Source organism: Homo sapiens, chromosome 9 (assembly GCF_000001405.40).
Source record: "Homo sapiens chromosome 9, GRCh38.p14 Primary Assembly".
Taxonomy (NCBI): Eukaryota; Metazoa; Chordata; class Mammalia; order Primates; family Hominidae; genus Homo; species Homo sapiens.
This window is the reverse complement of record NC_000009.12, coordinates 86286069-86305028: the sequence shown is the minus strand read 5'-3', so window position 1 is coordinate 86305028 and position 18960 is coordinate 86286069. Positions and strand designations below refer to the sequence as shown.

General features: G+C 37.5%; 1 protein-coding gene across 18 annotated transcripts in view; it reads left to right on the top strand.

The window, feature by feature from the left end:
• Positions 1-17296, top strand: part of TUT7 (terminal uridylyl transferase 7) — a 66678-nt gene extending 49382 nt beyond the window's left edge. For 6 of the 18 annotated variants that reach the window (NM_001185059.2, NM_001185074.2, NM_024617.4 and 3 more), the window contains 4 exons: positions 82-173; positions 1828-1943; positions 3428-3753; positions 16285-17296. In NM_001185059.2, the coding sequence (NP_001171988.1) occupies positions 82-173; positions 1828-1943; positions 3428-3753; positions 16285-16352 (602 nt within the window). In that variant the 3' untranslated portion in view covers positions 16353-17296. Of the gene's footprint in view, positions 1-81; positions 174-1827; positions 1944-3200; positions 3290-3427; positions 3754-5756; positions 5831-6198; positions 9732-16284 lie in introns of those variants that run through there. The other 12 variants (XM_011519012.3, XM_011519011.3, XM_011519014.3 and 9 more) reach the window with 8 other exon arrangements.
• Positions 17297-18960: the final 1664 nt, after the last annotated feature.

Genomic DNA, 18960 nt, shown 5'->3' with positions numbered 1-18960 from the left:
CAGGCCCAGGTAGTTTGTCATTTGTAATACAATCTCTTTTCCTTTTAACCCGCCTAAGTGAGTTCTTACTCTTCTTTTTAGTGACAAATTTTATAATGAAGGCTTTTATCAATGGTAGAAGAGTATTTGGTATTCCTGTCAAGGGATTTCCAAAGGACTACCCCTCAAAAATGGTAAGTGTGTTGGAAATACCAAAAAATAAAAAATAAAAAAAAGTGCCTAATTTGTACACATCACTTCAGTAGTAACTTAAATATTTAGAAAGTCTGTGAGTCTAGCCAAAGTAAATGACTATTGTACAGAATGATTCCCAGAGCCCCCCTTTTTCTTAAACATCCCCGGGTAGAGGCCATCAGAATAGAGAGAAATAGTAAGAAGTTGGATTTAAGGTTGTTAAATTCTTGTTTTCCTCTTTGATGCCTTTTTTTTTTCTGGTTATCTGTGCTAGCCTTCATAGGTGCATTGCTGTTCTGCCAGCATTCGGCTTGATGCCAGCCTTGGCCAAGCCCAGTTTGTACATATCTAGAATCTAGATTTTCCAATCTGCTTGCAAAAAGTAGTAAATCTTTTGCTGGGACTAGGGGGTTAACAGTGCTTCCTGTAGCAGACAGCTATCTCTTCTCATGTAACTTGATACTCGAGTTTTTCAGGAACCACATTTATTGAAAACAAAGCAAAATTATGTCAAAAAAATAATTTCAGTGAGAGAAAAATGGCTAGGGACTAGATGATCTTGCTAAGAATAATATTATGTTCTTCTGCATTAATTTCCTTATACTTTTTATTCTTATTTTTAATTGACATACAGTTTATGGAGCACAACGTGATGATTTGATACATGTATATGGAATGATGAAATCAAGTTAATTAACATATATATATCACCTCACCATTTTTTGTGGGGAGACATTTGAGATTTACTCTTAGTTATCTTGAAATATACACTATTATTGACTATAGTCACCCTGCTGCGCAATAGATCTCAAAACTTATTCCTCCTGTCTATCTGAAACTTTGTACCCTTTGACCAGCAACCCCCTATTCCCTCTGTACTCCCAGTGAAGACTTTTAAAATTTAACGTAAGTGTATTGCTTTATAGGCACATTCAGTGTTTGATTACATCTGTACATCTGATTTATGGTAGATATTGATGTGGCTTCTACACCAGTGCTTCTGAAACTTGTTCGAACAAATCACCTGAGGATTTTGTTAAAGTGCAGATTCTGATTCAGCAGGTCTAGGATCAGGCTCAAGACTGCTTTTCCAGCAAGCTCCCTGGGGATGCTCATGTTGCTGGCCTCCACCTTAATTTTAGTACAAAGAGGCTACAGGCTAGACCATTATCTTTCCTTTGTTCTGTTATTTTTCCTTCAGCAGCCACAACTAAGCAAAGTAGAAACACATAGTTTTTTTTCTTTTCTTCAATATAATCTGTATGATGCAAATCATGTTTCTCAATTCATTATGTTTTAGCCTTTTCATTTGATGAGGAGACAAAGCCTGTGTACCTGGCCTCAACTCCCTCCCACATCCTGAAAAGCTGACTCATCCGCTTCTTTAGAAGTGTGCTTAAACCTTTAGGGTTAGGGCTCACGAGTGCTCTGCATGACTAAAAGGAATAAACAAAAATGGATTTAGTTAAAACTATCCTGAGTTAGACCTTGATGGTCTTAGATTTTGTTTGGAATTAAGCAGTATAAATAATATTTATTAAAAGTAATGTTATATCAACATTGAATTGTAAGATAACTGTTTAATATCTGGTTAGTTTTGTGTTCCGATCTCACGTGAATAGTTCAGGCTTTTATATATTTATGTTCTTCTAGGAATACTTTTTTGATCCAGATGTGTTAACTGAAGGAGAGCTGGCCCCAAATGATAGATGTTGTCGAATTTGTGGAAAAATCGGACACTTCATGAAGGACTGTCCTATGAGGAGAAAGTAAGTAAATGTTCAAAGGGGTTGGTTGTGTTTTTATTTTCTTAATGTCCCAATTTTTAAATGAGGTACTATTATAACAAAGAAAATACACTTGTGTAAAATCCAGCAGTTTTCAGATACATTTAAGTTTTTTATTTTATTTTTTAATGAAATGAAGTGATTTAAAACATGACTTTAGGCCGGGTGCAGTGGTTCACGCCTGTAATCCCAGCACTTTGGGAGGCCAAGGCGAGTGGATCACCTGAGGTCAGGAGTTCAAGACCAGCCTGACCCACATGGTGAAACCTCATCTCTACTAAAAATTAGCCAAGCATGGTGGCGGGCACCTGTAGTCCCAGCTACTTGGGAGGCTGAGGCTGCAGAATCGCTTGAACCCGGGAGGCAGAGATTGCAGTGAGCCCAAATCACGCCATTGCACTCCAGCCTGGGCAAAAGAGCAAGATTCTGTCTCAGAAAAAAAAAAAAAAAGCCCAGGTGTAGTAGCTCATGCCTGTAATCCCAGCACTTTGGGAGGCCAAGGCAGGCGGATCACTTGAGGCCAGGAGTTCAAGACCAGCCTTGCCAACATGGTGAAAAGAGGAAACAAAAATTCTTCCTTTTTACAGTAGTGAGAAGTTCAGAATCATTTCAGTCAGTAAACAGTCAAATGAGTTCCTTCAGGATCTCAGTTACATCTCTAATGCACAGTAACTGTTCAGCACGTTGGGATATATATTCACAAACAGTTCACTGGATTTTAGCACTCTTTGTTTGTATTCCACTTAACCCTTAATAATTGTTGTGAGTAGGTAAGCCATGCAGTTTAGTCCCCATGCTTTCTTCTGGTGGCGTTTATTGGGGGGCAAGAGAGACATGTTTTTGCTTGCTTGCCTTGGGATACGTTGTTTTGGGTGGTAGTGGTGGTGTTTTTAACTGTACAGCAATATTTTAAAACATGGTGCTCAAATTAGGTTACCATCTGGAATTTGAGAAGCTTTGTTTTTCAGTCCTTTTTTTCATTACTCAAAAATCAGTGATTATTAGGATAAGGGAGAAATGATTTTGACATTTTAAGAGCATAAATCTTAAAACCATTGTTCCTTTGTGAATTTAAGCCTTCACATCTAAAATTTCCAGTGCCAAGTAAAGAAAGAATGCTAATGTGCCAGAAAGGCCGTTCAAGAAATCACTCCATGGATGATTTGCCTTTCATTACATCAGTGTCAAAGTAGGCATTCAGCCAAGGAGTGCCACTAATTGCAGTCATTGGTTTTACAGCACTAGAGCAACTTTGAAAATGAAGAAGAAAAACTGCACCCTTAAACCCTGAGGGAGCATCTTAACAGAGAAGATGGATTTTCATTTAGGTTCTTGCTTTTCCTTTTAATACTTTCTATTCCTGGTCATCTCTTAAATCTAGAATTGCCTTAATATTTTGGGAATTGCCTTAATATTTTGTTAGGCTTCTGTTTAGATTTTTGCTACTAATATGATATCTTCTACAGAGTAAGACGGCGGCGAGATCAGGAAGATGCCCTGAACCAAAGATACCCTGAGAACAAGGAAAAAAGAAGCAAAGAGGACAAAGAAATTCACAACAAGTACACAGAAAGGGAGGTGTCAACAAAAGAAGATAAGCCCATACAGTGCACACCTCAGAAAGCCAAGCCAATGCGGGCAGCTGCTGACCTGGGGAGGGAGAAGATCCTCAGGCCACCAGTAGAAAAATGGAAGAGACAGGATGACAAAGACTTAAGAGAAAAACGTTGTTTTATTTGTGGAAGAGAAGGGCACATTAAAAAGGAATGCCCACAGTTTAAAGGCTCTTCAGGTATGGACACCTATCACACCTTGATGTTTGCTCTAACATCTCAAGGGAAATCTGCTTTTTAGAGCTCTTTACTATTTTAGTTATCTTTATTTCTTTATCAATATATTTACTCAAAAAAGATCTTGTTTTTAAGAAAGTAAAATCCCTTCCCCCTCCTTTAATGTTGATCCTCCATATATCTTATTCCTGGCTTTATTTAGAGTCTTATGAGAGTCATTTGGTGAACTTTTCTAAGATTATCAGTGAGGTGAAAGTGTAATCATCCCTGGTACCTGCACATGTAGCCTCAGTGACCAGAAAAGAAGCTGCAACTTGAGCTTTGCTACTTGATATATGTACTTGTGAAATCAAATCACAGGGGTGGCGGTAGCCAGAGTTATCTCAGGACACCATGCTCTGTGCACAGGTGAGCCACACACAGGCACATGCATAGAAAAGGGAACAGAAAGAAATAGGCTGCATAGTTAGCAGTGGGTGAATCTGCAGAGGGGAATTATGGAAGATTTTTTTCTGTAGATTTTGTCATTTTGATTTTCTACAAGTGAGCATGATTATTCTTATGACGAAGAAAATATCTATTAGCAGTCATTAACAACACCATCCACAAATCTGGCCCCTTTGAGTTGTTAAATACAAATTGGCCATTTTTGCTAAATGGGTGAAATGTCTATTGTGGGCACCTTTTAAACAGACTACTAACTATAAGGGTACCTTGTGTGTGTATAATAAGTAATGATTTACAAAGCAATTTACATTCTCACTTCTCAGAACTGTGCAAGTGATGAAATTTGATAAGCATAGAAAAGAAATATTTGGAAGTAATTTTTTTCTAATTAAAGTAGTCAATCCTGTCGCTATCCTCAGTTGTATATATATGTTTGTGGACAGCATAAAGTGTCAGCTGCTTTACAGTTTCCCTAAAATACTCCATGTGTATAGTTCTTGGAACAAGAATACCTCTCTTCTATTTTATTTTATCATATTCAGCAATATAGTGTATCTTTTTTTAAGACAGGAGATTTTTAGATCATACCCATTCTTTTTTAAAGGAGCTTTATATGAAAAGATCAAAATACTTAAAAATTTTTATCTATTATTTTTAGAGTAGGGTTTAAATGTTTATGAAAGATACAGCTTTAGCTGCTCACATGGGACATATACCAGAATAAAGTGATTTTCTTTTGTTGTTTTAAGAGGAAAATGTATTTAAAAGAAATTACAATAATAATAGTTGCTAACATTCATTGAGCATTCACTATGAGTTAGGCACTATTTTAAGTACTTTACATGGATAATTTCATTTAATTTTTACAACAGCTTCATTAAATACATTAATATCTGCTGTTTTACAGGTAAGGAAACTGTAAATAGTATAGATAACTTTTAAATAGTATTCCCAAAATTATTCCTAAAATTACTCGAGGCCTGTGTTGATTACTCATGACTGAAACATTATTACAGTCTTCCTCTTTGGTACAACAAAGTGGAGAATTTGCCCCAGCTTTGATGAATTTCTTTTTTCTCGCTAGCAGCAAGTTTTAAGTTGTGTACTAGGGAAGCTCTCACAACAGTTAGACCAATGATTTTGGCAGCCTGTGGGGACAGCAGCAACTCAAAAAGATGCGGGGCGGGTAGTCCGGGTGGCAGGGGAATTATCAAGCATAAGGAAGAGCACTTATCTAGAAATGTGGTCCCTTCAGAATGCAGTCTTGACACATTAAAGTTAGTAGTCATCATATTTTAAAAGTGAAATGACAGTGGAGGCATGGGGATAGATACAGGGAATTTCCTTTGGTGGCAGTTCAAAAATAATCAGCTGCTTCTTCCTCTCTCAAAATTATGCTGCTCTCTCTTGTTTCTTCAGATATATTGCTCCTTTGTCCACACAATATACTGAGTGGAGCTTCTGTCACACCAACAGACAGTCTCTCTGTGAAAGTTTGAAAACAGGGCTACTGCTTTCAATTTAAAGTAGGAACAAAAAGTGCTAATTTCTTTTTTAGGAATGTCTAAATCAGATTGTATGTTTGGATCGCCCTCACCTGTCCCATTGAAACCAACTGGTTTATTTGTTCAGGTAAACCTAGCTCAAACGGAGAAGGAGGCGTGTCTGTCATCTGTTCACTCAGGAGCTGCTCCCTGAGTGCTCTCAGCTCTGCACCATGTCCTTGCGCTGTGCTGGCAGTGCGGGCCCTCCTTCCTCTGGCTGACCTGCAGCACTCCTGTCTGTCCTGCGCGGGTGTGGTGCGTGGTGAGGCTTACTGGGCACCGGATGGCGGGGCCTTGTTTCAGAACTCCTGCCCATGGTCTTGCTTTTCAGTTAACTTGCAAAATTCTGCCACCCACATGCCTTATTTCAGCTCTCCTTGGATATGGTTTCGGTTTTAAGGCTGTTTCAGATGCTCTTCCTTTCGATTTTGTAAACCAGTCTATTTCATTTTTTAGGCAGTGCTTTTACATGAAGACAAAAAGAAACAAAAAACAACAATATTTTTGAGTCCCCAGTCAGGTATGTGGGTTTTAAAAAAAACAAATGTGTGTTATTTTATTTACTGCATACTTTACCACATGCCTTTTGAGACTTTTTCTCCAAATATGTGCTTTTAACAGGGATTGGACATCAGAATCACTTGGGGGAACTTTAAAACATATAGTTGCCCATCCTCTACCTTTATTTCCTAAAGCTAATTCTTCAGTGGTTAAGCATGGGCCTGTGTGTTTTGTAAATTCCAAGTGATGTTTATACCACCCATGAGTGGCAACCAGAGTCTTCAATTATTTGTTCCAGTCCCGTGCTTTTTGTTGCTGCTGTCTTGCCAGCAGTGTTTTCTCCTCCTGGAGAGTATTTGCCACACACAAAGTAAGGAAAAAAACTAATCTCTAGCCTGAACTCCACTGTTACCTCTCAGCTACTTCATTTATTCATTCTTTCAACAAATAGCTATCCAGCCTCTCCCCTCCCTTTCCAAGTTCAGGACACCAGCCTCAACACTGAAGATACAGCAGTGAACAAGCAAAGCCCCTTCTCTCATTTACTCTGCATCCTTTTCAGAAGAGGTAGACAATAAAGAGATACAGAAATAATATGTCATGTGGTGGCAAATGCTAGGAAGAAATAACAAAACAAGAAAAGGGAAAGAGAATGGTTGGCTAAGGAGGCAGCATCTCTGGTAAAGTAACATTTAAGCAAAGAATCAAATGAAACAAAGGGGCCAGTCGGGGGAAATTGGTGTTAGACTGGTAAACTCAGAGATGGAAACAGGTGTTGTCCTGCAGCATCACTGAGGCAGTGTGGCAGGAGTGGAACAGGATTGGAAACTCGAGAGACAGAAGAAATTTGAAAAAAAAAAAAAAGTGGAGCAGGCAGAAGGGTGAGTGAGTGGTAGAGGTGAAGTCAGAGGGTGGATAGATCTGGGTTATGAAGCGCCTTCAGCAGTGGTAGGTACCGTTTTTGTTGGTTTTTTTCTCCCTCAAAGTGAAATGAGAGACTATTGTAGGGTTTTGAGCCAAGGAGTGATATTATCTGAATTCTGTTTTAAAAGGTTCATTATGGCTCCTGTGTGGAGGCAGGGTAGCTACTTAGAAACCAAGCCATCTCAGCCTCCCGATTTGTAGAGATGTGGTCTCACTATGTTGCCCAGACTGGTCTTGAACTCCTGGCCTCATGTGATCCTCCCACCTTGGCCTCCCAAAATACTAAAATGATAGATATGAGCCGCCACACCTGGCCATAAGCTTCAGCCTTGAGCAGATACTTTCTAAACACTTTATATAGGGAAAAAAAACTAATTCTTGCGTAGCCAAGGTGTTCATTTTGCCGAGAATAACGTAGCATAGTGTTTACAATTACGTGGGTGTAATTTCTAGCTTTGTGATCCTGAGAGACTGCCTTATCCTCCATATGCCTCAGTTTTCTCATGTGTAAAAAGGGGGTAATAATAATACCTGACAGGGATGTTGAGAAATCCATGTAAAAGTACTTAGAACAGCGCCTGCATATAGTGAGAGCAGAGAAAAGGGAAAAGGTTCGTGGTGGTGATTGCATTGATGTTATTATTCCTTCAGGGTATCACCAAGTCTTCCAGTGCCAGCATTGTTCAGTTGAGAGAGAAATATAGATGCTAGGCATACACCTAGAAATAGCATTGACAGTAAGTTACGATTTCTGTAATTATCTTCTTAGTAAAAAACCTACATATTTATAAATCTTTTGAGCAACTGGAAAAAAAGTATTAACTTAAATTTACTACAGGAAAAATGTATTGCAATAATTATGTTACTTTATACCAGAAAAAAGAAAACATTTATAGGTGGTTAAAATCGATCCTATCCAATAAATCAGACTCTTCCAAATAAGTATATGTCAGATGATATAACTGTCTAGTTTATCTGTGATATATGTATCCAAATTATCTATGTTGTTATAAATGTGAACTGTATCTCACCTGTAAGTGGTGTTAATTTCCCCACAGCTCTTCCTTTCCATAGTATTAAGTATGTCTTTGGCCCACTTGTAGTTTCTCAAGAAAGCATGTTGATACGGACAGCCCCTACTCTCATATATGGTGTATTGACCTTAGGCAAGAGATGTGGTTTCTCTGAGCTCCAGATATGTCATCTATAAAATTGGTGTTAACACCGTTTATCTCATAGGGTGCTAAGAAGATTAAAGTACTGCCCAGAGTAGGCACTCAGTCAAGTTCTCTTTCCTCTCCTGATACCTACCCCCATCCTTTCCTCTAGGTTGCATATAGTTCTTTACTCCCAAAGGAGATCACAGTAGATAGAAAATCCCATGAATGTCCTTGCTCTTCGTTGTTACCTCCCTCCCCCTCTATCCCCCACACATAATGCCTTAGATATTCAGTAGGTTTTATTGATTAGAGGTGAACTTATTTGGAAGGAATAAAAAGACAAAGCAGGAGAATGGTCAAGAACATGAGTTTTAGAGTGAGACACTTGAGTTTGAAATCCAGCCCAACCATTTACTAGTTGTGTGACCTCTATCAAGTTATGCAACCTCTCTGTGCCTCAGTTTCCTTTTTGGCAAATTGGTGCTAACACCTCACAGGACTATTGTAAGGATTAAGTTCATGTAGATAAAGCACTTAACACAGCATCCGACACATCTCATCACTCAATAAATTATCACTGCCCTTTGTTACTGTGGTTAACAAACACTTGCTGTAATTTCTCTCTTCTAACTTATAGGACAAACAAATAATGGAAATTTTTAACATAAGTATGTAGAGATTGTGGTACCACAGTGATAAACTGATTTTTATGCTTAAGTTAATGACTCTGGTTTATGTATGACAATTTATTCAGTATGAGAATCTCAGAAAACTAATGTTTTTTTCTATTCCTTAACCTTCCTACCCTTTTTTTGGTAAAGAAAATTACCGAAAAAACAAAAAACAAAAAAAAAACTACCTCTGTCTATTTATTTATTCCATTTTAATCTCATGGCTTGAAATCTGAAAAATTGGAGTTGCTGTAAGAGATTGGTGGATGTCTTTTTGCCCTCATGGTGATGTATTCTTTTACAGCTTTTATCATTGACCAGAATTTTAAGGCCTGCTTATTTTAAAAAACGAAAACCAGTGTTCTTTATGATAATAAGCTTAAAATAATAGAAATACTTTTTAAAATAGTATGGGGAGAGCTCATTGTCAGTGAATATAGATCATTCTTGTTGATACCCTTCTTTGAATATTCTAGTGTATTAATATACCATTGTTTATTTAATCATGTCTTATTAATGGACTGGCTGTTTTCACATATTTGATATATCAAGTGTCTTCACAACTTGTGCTTGCATATTCTTTCCCAAAATATTGAAAGTCCATATATTTCCTTGTACATTTTTAAAGTTGATATCTAAATCTTTCATTGTAGTTGCAAAGCATGTAATTTCTTGGGGGAGGGGGGCTGTAAATATTGACATTTTAAAATAAAACTTTTAAATCAGCCTTAAATGTATCAAATGAAGTATAAATATTATTGCTTTTTCATACCCACCATCATTTATATACAGCTCAGCTCTTCTTTAACAGGCAAAAATTATATATCATTTCCCTTTCCTCCTTGAATTCCTTTGTTGTACTTCTACAGAATTTCAGCATAAGATGATATATTTTGTTTGTTTGTTTGAACTTCTCCCTGAGATGATATATTTTTATTACACATATTTTCAAATATTTTATTGAGTAGCTTATCATGCTTATCTGCAACAAAAATGACAGGGGCAACAAGCTAGGCCCTATTTTCTATAAATTGAATTTTTAAGCTTTTTATTAAATCTCAAAGGATGAAAATATCTTCTATATTGAGTTTTCACAATTATTAGAATATATAATTGATCAAAACAAATGTTACAAATTTTAATTAAAAATTACTTTTTTTTTTTATACCTAATGCTAAATGACGAGTTAATGGGTGCAGCACACCAACATGGCACATGTATACATATGTAACAAACCTGCATGTTGTGCACATGTACCCTAAAACTTAAAATATAATAATAATAAACAAATATTAAAATAATAATAATAATTACTTTTTATGTTTACTTACAACGACTTTAATAAGAAAGATGAGATTTTTTCCCTATACATTCACATATCTTTGGGTCGACATTATTTACTGCGTGAATGAAACTGTTCCTTTTCTATCCCTAATTTTTTTTTATAGTTGATAAAAATGGAAAAACCCCAATATTCTTTATGATAGCAAATTAAAAATAATAGAAATACTTTGAGTTTGGGAATAGAAGATATATTACAATAGTGCCACTCAATTATTTTGATTCCTTCTTAATTACATGACAAAAAATCACAGTGATGTATCATCAAAAATTATTTGTAATGATCATCCACTATCAATGTAATTTTATGAAAGCTAAAAATTTGGATTTTTATTAGAGGCATTTACATTCACCACAGACACCAGCATTTTGTTTGCCTCTCCTCTTCTCTGGGTTTTTTTTTTTTTTTTTTTTTGCCTCATGGCAATACACCACAGTAGGATTTGGCTGGTTAGGAGATACGCCTTTCTTTTGTAAAGTAGATAAATAATTGTGAAAGGGGAATTAGAAAGGACAGGTGGAGTGATTCCTGAAAACCAGCCTAAGCCTTGACCACAAAGGCATTCACAGACATATAATTTTTAAGAAAGAGTACACATGGAAGTTGAAGAGCTAGAAATTGACTCTCTTAAAACTATCCTTGCGGCCGGGCGCCATGGCTCACGCCTATAATCCTAGTACTTTGAGACACCGAGGCGGGTGGATCACCTGAGGTTGGGAGTTCCGAGACCAGCCTGGCCAACATGGTGAAACCCCATCTCTACTAAAAAGACAGATTTAGTCAGGTGTACTGGTGTGCGCCTATAATCCCAGCTGCTCAGGAGGCTGAGGGCAGGAGAATCACTTGAACCTGGGAGGTGGAGGCTGCAGTGAGCCGAGATCAAGCCACATGCCCTGTCAGGTAGGCTCAGGAACACATGGGCCCAGGTTGGAAGAGCACCATTTATATAAAACACTCTAATGAATAGTCGCATATTTGTCTAGTTATTTCATCAGGATAAATTCCCGCTCATAAGAATGATAGGTTTAAAAGTATGCACATTTTGACAGTGATGCCAATATTCCCAAATTGTGATTGTTGACAATCCCGGAGAGTCAGTGACATTGTTTCCCATACCCTGACTTCATTGGGATAGTCTTTTTTCATTTTACACCTGCTTGAATTCCTATTATTACCATTGAACTTTACCATTTTTTTTTACATGATTTCATCTATCTTTCTTTGTACTTTTGTATTGGAGTATTCTTGACAGGGTCTCACTGTCGCCCAGGCTGGAGTGCAGTGGCTCAATTATAGCTCACTACAGCCTTGAACTCTCAAGCGATCCTCCCATCTCAGTCTCCCGAGTAGCTGGGACCATAAGCTAGTGAGACCACACTCAGCTGATTTTTAAAATTTTTTTGTAGAGACAGGGTCTCGCCATGTTGCCCAGGCTCGTCTTGAACTCTTGGGCTCAGATGATCCTCCTCAGTTTCCAGAAGTGTTGGGATTACAGGCATGAGCCACTCCACCCGGCCCAGTTTATTATTTTAACCTCACTTATATGTGTTTGCCATACAGATGAATGTTTGTTTTAATAGTGTGATCTAGCCAACTTTTGCATGGTTTCTTATCATGCTTACCAAATTTTATAAATGCCATATTATTCCTCTATATTATATAAAAATTCATTCATGTGTTATTTCTAGTACTTTTGTTTTTTTACATGCAAATATTTTATATTCAGGTATAGTGAAGATTTTTCTGATATAGTAGATTACATGTTTAAATGCTACAGTAGTAAAACTACTAGTACTATACTTACCAAAGGGTTTAACATTTTGGGAAAAACAGAAACGGGCAAGTAGCAGTATAACAATAACTAACTTACCTTCTAGAGAATTGGCATTGTTTTTCAATTTTTTTTTTCTTTTAGAGAGAAGGGTTTCACTCTGTCACCCAGGTAGGAGTGCAGTGGCACAATCATAGCTCACTGCAACCTCGAACTCCTGGGCTCAAGAAATCCTCCCACCTCAGCCTCCCAAGTAGCTCACAGGCATGAGCCACCTGTGCCTGGCTCAATCTCTTTTTTTTTTTTTTTTAATAAAAGACCTGTCACTGAGGTAGTGGAAGTGCCTTGAGTACCATCACCAACATCGTTTCCTCTGTCATGTCCCTCTCAACCCTAGAAACATCCATTATTATGAGGTTAAGTCTCCAAGTTTCCTTTTTTTTTTTTTTGAGACAAAGTCTCCCTCTGTCACCCAGGCTGGAGTGTAGTGGTGTGATCTCTGCTCACTGCAGCCTTCACCTCCTAGGTTCCAGTGATTCTTCTGCCTCAGCCTCCCAAGTAGCTGGGATTACAGGTGTGAGCCACTGCACCCAGCCCCTTCTGGTTCATTTTTTATACTCTTTCATATGTACTCCTTAACATATGTTTCTCCTTGGTGAATTTTTAAATTAAAATGGCATATCATGGCATATAATAAGAATGTCCTACAAACCAGGGATGGTGGCACGGGCATGCAGTCTCAGCCACTCAGGAGGCTGAGGCAGGAGGATGGCTTGAGCCCGGGAGATCTGACACTGTAGTATGCAATGATAGTGCCTGTGAATAGTCACTGCACTGCACTCCAGACTGGGCAACAAGCTAGACCTCATCTATTTTAAAACTTTTATATGGTGCTGTTTTTATATTTGGGTTTTTTTCTTTACAGTATTCCACCCTGTGAATAAAAAATATTCTATGTATTTATTACCCAGTTTTAGGTTGTATTCAATATTCTGCTGTTATTAACAGTGCTATAGTGAACATCCTTGTGGAAGTCCCCTTGAGCATGTATGAGAGATTCTTTAGGGTTTGTGTGTCTACAAGTCAAATCGTTAGGTCATAGCTTATGTGCATTTTAGTTAGATTCTATCAGATTACGCTTGTATTGGCTGAAATAATTAGAACTCCCACCAGCAGTGTGTGGGTCATTTCTATGTATTCTTCCAAATACTTTATTTATTAATTTTTCAGAATTTTCATTTTTGCAAGTCTGATGGATGAAAACTACTTTGGTGTTGTTCTCATGTGTATTTGTATGACTCTGGTGATGCAAGGGGCCCTTTTACTTTTTTTTTTTTTTTTTTTTGAGATGGAGTTTCGCTCTTGTTGCCCAGGCTGGAGTGCAATGGCACAATCTCGGCTCACCACAACGTCTGCCTCCTGGATTCAAGCGATTCTCCTGCCTCCTGTCTCTCGAATGGCTGGGATTACAAGCACATACCATGACACCCGGCTAATTTTTGTATTTTTAGTAGAGACAGGGTTTCACCATGTTGGCCAGGCTGGCCTTGAACTCCTGACCTCAAGTGATCCACCTACCTCAGCATCCCAAAATGCTGGGATTACAGGCCCTTTTTACATGTTTATTGGCCATTTGGAGTTCCTCTTCTGTGAATTGTCTGTCCAAATCATTTGCCCATTTTCCCATTGAATTATTTCCCTATTAATTTTTAAAGGTTCTTCATTTATTCTGAATACCGCTCTTTTATTATTATATAAATTTCAAGTGTCTACCTGCAGTATATCTTCTGTTTCAACTTTTTGTGTGTATTGCCATTCCAAAGTTTTTAATTTTGAGATAATCAAATTATTAGTTTTCCATAATTAGTTTTCATCATCATTTGGTTCATAATTTAGGGTCATCTTTAAGAAATTCTTCTCTAACCTGAGGTCATAAAGATATCCATCTGTATTTTCTTCTAACAGCTTTAAAACTTTGTTTTTTCTATTTAGACCTTTAATCCATCCAGAGTTTGTATGTGTATGAAGTATGAGGTAGTCTCTTTTTTTTTCTTTTTTGAGATGGAGTCTTGCTCTGTCGCCCAGGCTGGAGTGCAATGGCATGATCTTGGCTTACTGCAACCTCCACTCCTGGGTTCGAGCAATTCTCCTGCCTCAGCCTTCCGAGTAGCTGGGACTACTAGTGTGCCACTGCCATAACCCAGCTAATTTTTTTTTTTTTTTTTTTTTTTGTATTTTAGTAGAGACGAGGTTTCACCATGTTGCCCAGGCTGGTCTCGAACTCCTGAGCTCAGGCAGTCTGCCCGCCTTGGCCTCCCAAAGTGCTAGGATTACAGGCATGAGCCACCGCCTGGCTGAAAAGCCAAATCTCCATACTTTGTGCAGTTCACAATATCGAAGATGGGTGCCTACAGACTAGTAGACACTTTGTGGCATAAATAATACAGTGGTAGAACAATAGAGTACTTTGTTTCTTCTTGACTGAAATTTCTTACTGAATTCCCTGGCTGATATTTTTCATTGTGAGTTGCTTATCTCGATGTCCTGCTTTGAAAAGTATGTGTTTAGGGAATGTTTTTATTTGCATACTTACTATGTTTGCTATGGAAAATTTAGAAAGTAATGTTAAGTAAAATGAAGAAAATAAAAACCATCTGTACTCCCTCCATTCTAGCATTAACTACTATTTAGATTTTGGGGATAAAGTTTTCCTGTCTTTTTACATTAATACAATAATAGTTAACATTTATTAAGCATTTTCTAGTACCAAGTACTATTCCAGTTGCTTTACATGTATTCGTCTAATCTTCACAATAACTTCAAGGGGGCAGGTATTATTGTCCTCATTTTACAGATAAAGAAAATGAGGCACCAAATACATGATTGGTGGGGTATATTTTAGTTTTTTGAAAATGCTATTTATATAGTTTTATACCTTGTTTTTTCATATTATTATCCTTCTGTGTATACCTAATATTCTATTATGTGCATAGTTCCTCATATACTTGGTCATATCGTAAGTTTTGGATTTTAAGTTCTTTGCATTGTTAATTATAAGGTTTTTATGAATATTTATTTAGCAGAATTTCTACCCACCTCCTCCTGATCTTCTTCCTTCTAATAATTTGGCAACCAAAAATTGATAGTTTTAATTTGCATTTCATTGATTACCCCTGATATAGAATTTTTTCATATACTTATGCCATTTTTTTTTCTATTTTATATATTACCTTTTCATTACCTAGTTATCTATTGGTGTTCATTCTTTTCTCTGGTGACTTACAAGTTCATTAAGTATGGTAGTGTGCTTAGGAAACTCTTACCCTACCCCAGGATTACCTACAGGATTACTCACTCTTTCTTACGCTCTGACTTTCTTATAGTTACATTTAATTCTGTATTCACTTGGAAATGGGTAGAGAAGAAGGATATGGTGTGAGGAGGGAAACTACCTCCTTTCTTCCCCTCCAAAATTACTTATTTGACATAATACAGTTATTGAATAATTCATACTTTCCCCCATTGGTTTGAAATGCAAACTTCATTATGTATTACTTTGTTACATATAATCACTTAAGAATTTCTCAGGTCTCTTCAGTTTTTTCGTTGATCTATTTGTTCAGACTCCAGAACAAAATTTAGTAACTATTCTGTGGTATTGGTTTTAATCAGTAATCCTCATTTGTGTCCTCCACCTGTAAATATAATAAATTTCCCTTTTTCCTTTTATATCAATAAGTTATTGCTACAATGATTACCATCCACAGCTTCGTATCTGCAGAGTAATGATCTAAGATATTTATTTCTGGCCAGATAATTCTTTGCAATCTATTATGTTTGGCTGCAAATGAAGATACTGAATTATACAAGGCAGAACCTTAAGTTCGTCTGGTGCTCTGTACCAACATGGAAATAGTGAATATGTAAATGTATTAAAATGAGATCACTCTAGGAACCTGTCTGCATTCAGAAAGAATTTTGACTAAGCTTATATTTAATTAATCATGTGCATATATACTTTTCAATATCAAGTCTTATTACTTGATTCAAAACAAGTGACCAATTCTAGTATGAAGTTTTTGTGACTACTTAATAAGAAGTAATTTTATGGCTTTTGTCATAAAGCGAGGCTTGTTTCATTTATATTGGGTTTTGTTTCTTCCCCTCCTCTAGGTAGCCTTTCCAGTAAATATATGACTCAGGGAAAAGCCTCAGCGAAGAGGACCCAGCAGGAATCATGAGGGAAGGAAAATGCAGCACTCTAAATGGCCACTCAGGCGTTCCTATTCACTCGGAAAATTAGGTTCATTTCACAGGACACAGCAGTGTAGATCAGGCTTCAACTTAACATTTAAGGGAAATGTCAGATTTTTTTTTAATTTAATGAAATTGTTAATGAGGAAAAATTTTTAATATAGTCTTATCTACCACACATCCCCATAGATTTAAGGATTTTAATAGAAAGACATGATGTATGTATTTAAGCCACGTTAAAAGAAAAAATATAACTATGGACCGGTATTCAGTGAATACAGTTTCATGGTTTTTAATTCTTTCAAAGCACATTAAAAATGGTGTGCTGATAAACCCCAAGTAAATTAACCCTTTTTCCGTATAAATCCATTTTTTGTTTTGAAGAGGGGAAATTATATTTATTGTTGTTTACTGAATCCTGGTGTGAAAGCATATCAGATATGTATGAACTGCTACTGCTGTACTTCCGATTTACGGACATCATTTTATTGCTATTTGTAGACGTGATAACATGAACATGAGTACCTATTTATGTGGGCCTTCAGTGGATGGGCAGTGCCACTCAGGTCTCTGGGGTTTCCCTCTCTAATTTTAAGTAAATTGACATATAACTACTATGCTTATAAAAATGAAGTAAGGAAAACAAGTAGTCCTGTTTGCCACTAAAAACATTTTCAAAGGAAAAATAAAATGAAAGTACTTTTTACTTTTTATGATACTCAGAAATTAGGATGAAGAACTTTTAAAATTGCTGAAGATCAAAGAGGTTATCTCTGCCAGTCACAAGTGTGGCTGGTGTCATTCTGGGTCTGACTGGAGCCCTCCTGGACTGTTTCTTTAATTTCAAAAGCCCTGCAGACATAGTACCTGGTCAGAACTATGCCTCGGTTTATTTATCATTTTGAAATAAAATCAGAATTTCAACCTGTAATTTTATCTACATTATTTTCTAGTGAAAGATTCCTAAATTTCCTGGGGAAAAAAAAAAAAGATCAAGGAGTGAGAACATTGGGAATGATAGTAAGAGGCGTTTAACAAAAAAGAAGAAAGGACAAATATACTCCCCTAAAATAGTGTACACAGACTTCCCTTTGACTTGTGCCCTTGCAATCATTGGTGTGTGTTAACATCCAGTGTGTTCCAGGCTCTGGGAACGTATAAATTTGTTATTATAAAAGGCACAGATGGGGGTGGGGGGGCGGGGAATTTGTAGGCAGGGAGGCTCAGGGGGTGCTTGCTGGACGAACATTCTGGATGTTTGAGGACTCAGAAGACGCACATCCCTGTGCCCTTCTTTTTTAAACAATTATTTGAAGACAGTCTAGCTAAAGACGAATCATATCAAAATTAAAGACTTCAGAATTTGGAGGCCATGGTAGAAAGAATTAGTGATCATTCCCTACTCATTTTGAACGCAAACTAATGAATGACGCAACCTGGGCTGATGCTGCTCTACGTGACCGTCCTCAGCTGCCCCCTTCTGGTTTCTTCTCTCTAACTCATGCATGAAAGTCGACTAGGCTTACAATGCTTGTCACACTTTTCTTTGAAAAGCCCATTGATGCTGTTCTGTTGTTTTCTAGCATTATAGCAGAAGACAAGTCTAAGACCAGGCTGATTTTTGTTCTCTTGTAGGTTTTGTTTTTCTGCCTGGGTGCTTCTGTTTTTTAATTTTATCCCTGTAATTCAGAAAGAAAATTACCTCAATATAGAAATACATCTATCCAGTGACTTTTCATGCTAGGAAAACTTCAAGTTTAATCTCTACATGACTGGCTTAATTTTTACTGTCATTCTGGTGCTTCCTGTTTCTAATATGGATTTTCTCATTGCACTTCTAATTTTCTGGAATTTGCCTCACTGACCTTCCTTTACCTCTCATTTCTTTAGTTTACTTATATTCTCTTCCTTTTCATAGGAGCCATATTTTCTTGTATCCCTTTAAGGATGTTAAAAGTTTCCTACATTTTAATCTGATCCTTAAGGTAGCTTCTGCCCAAAGTACTGGGTCTTTTGTTTGATTTTCAATACCTCACACTGGATCCATGGGACAATGAGCAGTATTTGCCAGCAGGCCTGGATAATGGATTGCCCTTGATTCTTTACCTGGATGTGGTCGCAGCCCCATCTTGCTGCCCCAGCTGGGATGCCAAAACGTCTGCTCTTTGCTAAGTCCATTGGCCTAGCTATCTTTCAAGTGCAGCCGGCTTATCTATCTTAAGCTGTACAAATGCCCCATTACCAAGGTTCTCCTTGCCACCTTCTCTCAGGAACAAAAATATGAAATCTCTTTTGTATAGCAGTGGTCCAGTGGCCCCAATCTATGATGTTTAAAACTCTTGCTTGGCTGGGTGCAGTGGCTCACCCCTGTAATCCCAGCACTTTGGGAGGCCGAGGCGGGCAGATCGCTTGAGGTCAGGAGTTCGAGACCAGCCTGGCCAACATGGCAAAACCCCGTCTCTACTAAAAATACAAAAATTAGCTGGGCTTGGTAATGGGCATCTGTAATCCCAGCTACTCAGAAGGCTGAGGCAGGAGAATCACTTGAACCCAGGAGACGGAGGTTGCAATGAGCCAAGATTGCACCACTGCACT